The following is a 9,668-nucleotide window of genomic DNA, read 5'->3' on the forward strand; positions in this document are numbered from 1 at the left end:
TTGGTAAATGTTGACAGACACTTATGGAATGGCTTAAGTGAAGCTCTTAACATGTCAAAGCCCCATTTTACCTCTGTAAAATTATTCTCTTAACTAATTCTATCCACTGTTTTTTTTAGAAACATAGTATATGCATACTACCTTAAAAATGAAATCCTGGGCCAGGCATAGTGGCTCATGCCTGTAATCCCAGCACTTTGGGAGGCCAAGGTGGGTGGATCGACTGAGGTCAGGAGTTCAAGAGCAGCCTGGCCAACATGGTGAAACCGCGTCTCTACTAAAAATACAAACATTAGCTGGACATGGTGGTGCATGCCTGTAATCCCAGCTACTCAGGAGGCCGAGGCACAAAAATCACTTGAATCTGGGAGGCGGAGGTTACAGTGAGCTGAGATCGCGACACTGCACTCCAGCCTGGGTGACAGAGTGAGACTGTCTCAAAAAAAAAAAAAGAAATATATATATATATATATATACCAATGGAACAGAACAGAGCCCTCAGAAATAATGCCACATATCTACAACTATCTGATCTTTGACAAACCTGACAAAAACAAGAAATGGGGAAAGGATTCCCTATTTAATAAACGGTGCTGGGAAAACAGGCTAGCCATAGGTAGAAAGCTGAAACTGGATCCCTTCCTTACACCTTATACAAAAATTAATTCAAGATGGATTAAGGACTTAAATGTTAGACCTAAAACCATGAAAACCCTAGAAGAAAACCTAGGCAATACCATTCAGGACATAGGCATGGGCAAGGACTTCATGTCTAAAACACCAAAAGCAATGGCAATGAAAGCCAAAATTGACAAATGGGATGTAATTAAACTAAAGAGCTTCTGCACAGCAAAAGAAACTACCATCAGAGTGAACAGGCAACTTACAGAATGGGAGAAAATTTTTGCAACCTACTCGTCTGACAAAGGGCTAATATCCAGAATCTACAATGAACTCAAACAAATTTACAAGAAAAAACAAACAACTCCATCAAAAAGTAGGCAAAGGATATGAACAGACACTTCTCAAAAGAAGACATTTATGCAGCCAAAAGACACATGAAAAAATGCTCATCATCACTGGCCATCAGAGAAATGCAAATCAAAAGCACAATGAGATACCATCTCACACCAGTTAGAATGGCGATCATTAAAAAGTCAGGAAACAACAGGTGCTGGAGAGGATGTGGAGAAATAGGAACACTTTTACACTGTTGGTGGGACTGTAAACTAGTTCAACCATTGTGGAAGTCAGTGTGGCGATTCCTCAGGGATCTAGAACTAGAAATACCATTTGACCCAGCCATTCCATTACTGGGTATATACCCAAAGGATTATAAATCATGCTGCTATAAAGACACATGCACGCGTATGTTTATTGTGGCACTATTCACAATAGCAAAGACTTGGAACCAACCCAAATGTCCAACAATGATAGACTGGATTAAGAAAATGTGGCATATATACACCATGGAATATTATGCAGCCATAAAAAATGATTAGTTCATGTCCTTTGTAGGGACATGGATGAAGCTGGAAACCATCATTCTCAGCAAACTATTGCGAGGACAAAATACCAAACACTGCATGTTCTCACTCATAGGTGGGAATTGAACAATGAGAACACATGGACACAGGAAGGGGAACATCACACACCAGGGACTGTTGCGGGGTCGGGGGAGGGGGGAGGGATAGCATTAGGAGAGATACCTAATGTTAAATGACGAGTTAATTGGTGCAGCACAATAACATGGCACATGTATACACATGTAAGAAACCTGCACGTTGTGCACATGTACCCTAAAACTTAAAGTATAATATTAATAAAATTTAAAAAAACATCACCTTAAGAGGGACATAGAAAAATACAACATGTTGCTTTATAGATTTTGTCCCTGCACCAAGGACAAAAGTGATGTCCCTGATCTGATTTATATTGAAATACATGTGAGCTATATGTACATTTAAGAAAGATTAATAAAAACAAGTAAAATTGGGCCAGGTGAGGTGGCTCATACCAGTAATCTCAGCACTTTGGGAGGCTGAGGCGGGCAGATCACTTGAGGTCAGAAGTTCAAGACCAGCCTGACCAACATGGTGAAACCCCATCTCTACTAAAAATACAAACATTAACTGGGTGTGGTGCCGCATGCCTGTAGTCTTCAGCTACTTGAGAGGCTGAGGCAGGAGAATCCCTTGAACCTGGGAGGTAGAAGTTGCAGTGAGTCGATATTGTGCCACTGTACTCCAGCCTAGGTGACAGAGCAAGACTCTCAAAAAAAAAAAAAAAAAAAAGATTCTTTACCCAATATTTGGTAAATCAGTGAGTGACAGCCAACAGAGCTCACCTATAAATCAATCCTGACTGGGTGGGGCCACCTTTGCGGAGAGTTACTGGATTAGGAATTTAATCATTTTGATTGTTCTTGTAATTAGCTAGCAGTCCATTATCATAATCTAATCAATCCAAAAGTGGTTGATTATAAAGTGACATGATTATCTTATTTTTTGAAACCCCATTCATAATTTTAAAATCTCTTTTATTTTCTTAATAAATTACACAACTACTAAAAAATTCTAAACATTGCATTTAAGTATAGAAAAGCTCAAACACAGCTGTACTTGGAGGCAGAGGATTGCATCAATTCCTGCATTCCCTGAAGAATCATTATGATTTCAGTAATATCAAATGCAGAAAATGCTGTGTTGAATAACTCTTAAAATACCGTAAGCAGATATGTTGTTCAGAATGGGATTTTTTTTGTATTGGTGAAAAATTTTGTGAATTTCTGGACAAAACTATATACAATGCTCCTGTGATTTATGCAATTGCATTTCTCAAACATTATGAAAATTAAAACAAGCAACAATACTTGTAATTTATAATTAAATAGGGTACAGCCTTGGAAATTGTCAGCATGTTTATCATCCGCTTTCATGTCTGAAGGTCACTGGAGAGTCCTATGACATGCTTGCAGGTAGCTTAATTGTCTTGGCCATTCTCAATAGCAGCCCCCATTCACTGGGAGAACCACCAGAGCAAACTCCAGATTTTAAATGAATCCCGACTGGGTGGTGCCACCTTTGTTGACAGTTACTGCTTTAGGTAATTTAATCATCTTGATTGTTCTTGTCAGGAGTTAGGAATCCATTATCACAACCTAATCAATCCAGAAGTCAGGAAGTCTCCACCCACTAATTAAGGTGACTCAATATAAACCTGCCTCCTGTGCCTCCACATTAGCTCATTTGGAAGACCTGGGTATAGGTGGTCGTCTCCTTGGCTCAGAGTCCCTGCAGCAGCTGAGGTGCCTGTGTCTCTCTTGTTCCCAGTGGCCACCATCATGCTCTCCTCCCCACTCAGGGTGGCTGTGGTGTGTGTGAGCAACATCAACAGGAGCATGGAGGCCCACAGCATCCTCAGGAGAAAAGGGCTAAGTGTCCGGTCTTTCGGAACTGAATCTCATGTGAGGCTACCAGGACGAAGACCCAATCATCCTGTAGTTTACGATTTTGCAACAACATATAAGGAGATGTACAATGACCTCCTCAGGAAAGATAGAGAATGCTACACCCACAATGGAATCTTACACATCTTGGGAAGAAATGAGAGAATCAAGCCTGGCCCAGAAAGATTTCAGGAATGCACTGAATTCTTTGATGTCATCTTTACCTGTGAGGAGCGTGTCTATGACACAGTGGTGGAAGATCTGTGTTCCAGAGAACAGCAGACCTTTCAGCCTGTGCACGTGATCAACATGGACATCAAAGATACCCTGGAAGGTGCCATCCTGGGAGCTTTCCTCATCTGTGAGATTTGCCAGTGCCTGCAGCAGTCCGACGACATGGAAGACAGTCTGGAGGAGCTGCTGTTGCAAATGGAGGAGAAGGCAGGAAAAAGCTTTCTTCACACCGTCTGCTTCTACTGAAGATCTGGGCTGGCTTTGTCTCCTTCCTCGGTAAGAACTTAGGCATGGGACTTTAGTCCAGATTGATTGTGAGAAGTATCTACAAAGACCTTCCACTGAGTGCTGTTTGTATTACTTTTGTACATATCACCTGGAAAGAGACTATTACCAAGAAAATATTTTATGGGAAATGAGAAGGACTAACAGTTTTAAAAGCACTGAAAAATGCTTGGCATTGTTCTACATGCATTACATACAATAACTAATTTAATGCTTATATTATTCTACAAGGAAGCTATCCCACCATGACTGCATTTTCCGGATGAGCAAATGGAGCTGATAATGGACTGCTGGAAAAATGATTTGTTTAAGGGTATTCAGCAGATAAATAACATTGTATAGATAAGCACCTTTTAAATAGACTTCCTTTTCTCAATTTGAGTGGTTTTTTTTTTAATTTTTAAATTTTTTAAGTTATTTGAGACCAATGGAGTGTGGTATATTAACTTAAATGTTGTTCTTCTTTAATAAGAGTATAATATTACATGTTTGAACCAATAAATGTTTTCACATATAGATTATATCTTTTTTACTAATGCTCACTTTAATAGGTAAAATCCAAGTTGGATAATGAACTACATATTATTGTAAAATTTGGAATTATCTACTCAAATAATAGGTCATCAAATTAAATGAAATAAAAAATTTAAATAAAAAAAAAAAAAAGAAAGAAATCCTGTTCCCAGGATCTGCAAAGAACACCACAGCAGTTCTACACATCTGCCTCTCCCCCAGTTCCCCTCCCTGGATGGCAGAGATTTTAATATCATTAAAACTAACTTGGATATAGTAGAGGGAAGCTCTTAAAACCCTGACACCAGTGTGTTAGGAGATGGTACGTCAATTGACAGATTCGTTACCCAAGAAGAACGTATACATGCATCATGCTAGGTACAGGGAGAAAACCAAAGTTAGGCAAAGTATTTTGTCCACTTATTATCTATGTCATTTTCATAGCCAGTAGAACCTCTCAGTAAGTCTCCTAGACCTGGCCATGCCCACCATGGCCCAACACTCTCTTCGTCCCTGTCAACTCAAGCCTCTCTACGTACCCTCTACTGGGTCAGACCAGTGACAGATCCATTCCAGTGAGTTGAACAGCAGAACCAAAGGATGGCATTTCTTGTTTTTCTTTTCTTTTTTTTTTGTCTTTTTTTTTTTTTTTTTCTGAGACAGAGTCTCACTCTATCACCCAGGCTGGAGCACAGTGACATCATCTAGGCTCACTGCAGCCTCTGCCACTGGGGTTCAAGTGATTCTCCTGCCTCAGCCTCTCGATTAGCTGGGATTACAGGTGTGTGCCACCACACCTGTCTAATTTTTTTGTATTTTTAGTAGAGACGGGGTTTCGCTATGTTGGCCAGCCTGGTCTCAAACTCCTGACGGCAAGTGATGCTCCTGATCCTCCTGCCTTGGCCTCCCAAAGTTCACAGGCGTGAGCTACCATGCCCGGCCAGATGGCATTTTTTATGGCCTTGGATTAAATTTTGCATTCCAGATGCTCAATACTTGGTTTCTAAAGTTAACTTCTGAACTTTCCCTAGAAACTAGAAAGACAAATATTACTACTCCATTTTGGGCCTTTTATTAAACACCTCATAAATGTTATTTAGTTTATTTCCACAAAATCTCTCTGAGTTAGGTAGCTCAGAGAATCTGAAACTTAAAGTTTAAATAACATGCCCAACATCACAGCCTACCAAGGGCAGAATGTGTCTAGAGACAGAGCTTCGGCCAGGCGCGGTGGCTCACGCCTGTAATCCCAGAACTTTGGGAGGCCGAGAGGGGCGGATCACGAGGTTAGGAGATCGAGACCATCCTGGCTAACACGGTGAAACCCCGTCTCTACTAAAAATACAAACAAAAAAAAAAAATAGCCGGACGTGGTGGCGGGCGACTGTAGTCCCAGCTACTCAGGAGGCTGAGGCAGGAGAATGGCATGAACCCGGGAGGCAGAGCTTGCAGTGAGCCGAGATCACACCACTGCACTCCAGCCTGGGCGACGGAGCAAGACTCCGCCTCAAAAAAAAAAAAAAAAAAAAAGAAAGAAAGAAAAGAAAAAGAAAAAGAGAGACAGAGCCTTTGATCACTGTACCTCTTTCCAGCTGGCAGAAATTTCCATCCAGGAAAACACTTTTGGCTGTGATTCTACTTGCCAGCCCCTTTCCATGCACATCTTCTCACCCCAAGTCAAATTTCTATTTAATTGAATTTTTCTCACTGAATAGTAGTGAACTTTCCTCACCATGTATCTAAATATTAGGTAGTTAGGCAAATATTAAATAGTGAACTTTTCTCACTAAATATTAGGCATTCCTTTTTATTTTTAGCTGATGCTGTCTTCTCCCAAATTAGACATTCAAGAAAATAATTATAGGGTAAAAAACGGAATGAGATCAGAAGGAAAATTAATGGCTCCCCTAACAACTAATTAGAAAAATTAAAGAAGTATAATCAATTTAGTTTACAAAAACTTGGCGAAGGGAGTATTCTTTGTCAGGCACTGTGTTGGATACCTATTGAAAAAAATGCCTTCGATGTTGGAAACTAATTATCTTATTTGGTAGTTATTTTACATTCAAGAGCATAAAATACTAGGACCAAGCATCATCACTGTTTTTAACTTATTTTGTTGTTGTAGCTTGATAATTGATCATCTCAGTTAACTGACTTCACTGATTTAACCCATTTTCAAAAGTTCTTTGCAGAGGGTGATTCTGAAAATCCTGAGTAACACCAGTTTCCACAATATCAGAGAGGTTTTGCTGGGAAGCAGCCATTACCATTAATAGAATTTATGTAACTCAATTTTACTGCCACTGAAAGGTCAAATCTGAAAGGTTTCATCAATGTTATTTTCTTTTGAAAAAGTTACTTCTGTCAAAAATAAGTAATAGAATTTTTAAAATGGTCATTAATTTCACCTTTAATATGTATTCACTATTTTTCATCTCTCTAGACTTTTGCCCACTAATGATTGAGGTCTAGTAACATATTGCAAGTAGTATAACAATACATACTATATTATTGGAACAATTGTAGACTAGGTAAAAATATCTTTTAACTGCTTCAAGACTGTTTACTAGATGAGATGATTAAAAGCATAGACTCCCTCTGAAGAAAGGATATTTTTCACTTAAGTGTCTTCTAATCAACAGCCAGTGCTAAGTGGCTCCTCTTTAAATAACAGAAGGCAACGTCTTAGAAGCTTTATCATGGACTCTTCTCAGTGACAAATGGTTTTTAAGGGTGCTTTGTGAAAATAACCAGTCATAGTGAGAGTAACAGATAAGAGCTTAAACCTTAGATGTCAACACAGCCCAATCTGCCTGTTTTGTTAGAAATACATCTGTTAGCAACCAGCAATCCTTTATTAGCTCCAGCCTCTGTATCAGTCAAATGGATTCCTGGTATTTAAAGCTGTAGATGTCTTCTTAGGTTAATTCAAATTCCTGATGGGTATCTCTATTGTTTTTATGAACCTACTTGTATAAATAGGCCGGGAAGTTCTACTCCGAGAAAACACCAAATGGCGGATGACGCCGGTGCAGGGGCGGGGTCCGGGATTCCGGAGGCCCTGGGATGGGGAACAGCGGTGACTTCCGGGGAGGTTTCGTCAGTAGCATCCGGGGCCCAGGGTCGCGGCCGTGGACCCGGCCGAGGCCGCGGAGCTAGCGGAGGCAAGGCCGAAGATAAGGAGTGGATGCCCGTCACCAAGATGGGCCGCCTGGTCAAGGACATGAAGATCAAATCCCTGAAGGAGATCTATCTCTTCTCCCTGCCCATCAAGGAATCTGAGATCATTGACTTTTTCCTGGGGCCTCTCTCAAGCACGAGGTTTTGAAGATTATGCCGGTGCAGAAGCTGACCCGCGCCGGCCAGCGCACCAGGTTCAAGGCGTTTGTTGCCATCGGGGACTACAGTAGCCACGTCGATCTGGGTGTTAAGTGCTCCAAGGAGGTGGTCACTGCCATTCTCGGGGCCATCATTCTGGCCAAACTCTCCATTGTCCCCGTGCGCAGAGGCTACTGGGGGAACAAGATCGGCAAGCCCCACAGTGTCCCTTGCAAGGTGACAGACGGCTCCGTGCTAGTGCGCCTCATCCCCGTGTCCAGGGGCACTGGCATCGTCTCTGCGCCTGTGCTCAAGAAGCTGGTCATGATGGCTGGTATCGATGACTGCTACACCTCAGCCAGGGGCTGCACTGCCACCCTGGGCAACCTTGCCAAAGCCACCACCTTTGATGCCATCTCTAAGACCTACAGCTACCTGACGCCCGACCTCTGGAAGGAGACTGTATTCACCAAGTCTCCCTATCAGGAATTCACTGACCACCTCGTCAAGACCCACACCAGAGTCTACGTGCAGAGGACCCAGGCTCCAGCTGTGGCTACAACATGGGGGTTTTATACAAGAAAAGTAAAGTGAATTAGGCCTGAAAATAAATAAATAAATAGGTCAGGAAAATGAATAAAGGGGAAAACAACCAACCAACCTTTTAGTTACAGCTTGATTCTTATTTCCCAAACTATCATAGCCTTAGTTTTACAAAAGAGAGGCTGACCTTGATTGTGCCTCACTTAGGAAAATGACTACCTTATGCTAGTTAGAGAAGTGATAAGTCTCCAAGGTTTTATAAATAACAAAAGCAGATTAAAAAAAAAATAATAAAAGCCTGTATTTTACTCCTAATGGAAGCACATTGAAAAACAGTGCCATGGTGTGCAAGGTTATTAAACAAGTACATCTAACTGCTGGAAAGTTGAAATCTCACCTCACTGTTTGCAGCCAGCAGGCTTTCTCCTGGCAATCCCTGACTGTTTTAAGTGAAGACAGGAGAGGAGTTGCACAGCCAGCTTTCTCCATATGGGGTAAGGAAAAGACTGTGCAGAGGTAAAGTGCAGAATGCAAGTGCTTCAGGAAATGAGCTCCAGCTCTAGCTCTTCTTCATTGCATCAACATCAAATTTACTTGTAAAATCAAGCAGATACTAATAAAGTAGTTGCTCACAGGAAAAATATATTGGAGTTTAATAAGCAATGCTAATAGTTAAGAACTCATAAGTATTATGAGGGACAGTCCGTAAGTTTATCATTTGGGGAGGAAAATGAATTTATATGATGTATGATAATAAAAGAGAGTTTAAGTGCAATAGGCATATATTGTGTTACTGTATTACTTTGCAAAACCCAACCCCAAAATAGAACAATGAGCATGTCTTTCTTTTTCACATGTCTACATGTAGACTGGGGTATCTCTGTTCTGCATACAAACTGTGGGTGGGACCAGGCTGGAGGACTTCAGTTATATGAGGCATCTTTTTCTGACAAGTCAGGAGCTCCTAGGTGGATGGCTATAAATGAGAGACACTCCTTAAGGCCTTGTTTTGAGGCTGGCAGAGTCATTTCTTCCCGCATTCCTCTGGACAAAGCAAGTTACCAGGTCAAGCCCAGCTCCTATGGGGCGGGGCCAGGATGTATGCTTTTCCATGGAGGTAGGGAAAATAGAGTAAATATTTGCCAAAACAATGAGCTCATCTGCCACATTTTTTTCCATAACTTAGAAAATGTCAGGAATTAAGAAAGGCAAAAATAAAAATCAGTGGTTAACCTACCTCCCAGAGATGATCAGGGTTCATCTTTAATGTATATCCTTCTTGTCTCTTATTTATGGACACAGAGTTTAGTGAGTGGTGGGAAGG

At 41.1% G+C, this 9,668-nt stretch overlaps 1 protein-coding gene and 1 pseudogene across 1 annotated transcript; both read left to right on the forward strand.

The window, feature by feature from the left end:
* Positions 1-3,289: 3,289 nt before the first annotated feature.
* Positions 3,290-4,637, forward strand: SSU72L6 (SSU72 like 6). The gene has a single exon (NM_001414004.1). The coding sequence runs from the start codon at positions 3,344-3,346 to the stop codon at positions 3,926-3,928; it is 585 nt and encodes a 194-aa protein (NP_001400933.1). The 5' UTR covers positions 3,290-3,343; the 3' UTR covers positions 3,929-4,637.
* On the forward strand, positions 7,475-8,405 carry RPS2P31 (ribosomal protein S2 pseudogene 31; annotated as a pseudogene).

This window comes from Homo sapiens, chromosome 7 (assembly GCF_000001405.40).
Source record: "Homo sapiens chromosome 7, GRCh38.p14 Primary Assembly".
NCBI lineage: Eukaryota > Metazoa > Chordata > Mammalia > Primates > Hominidae > Homo > Homo sapiens.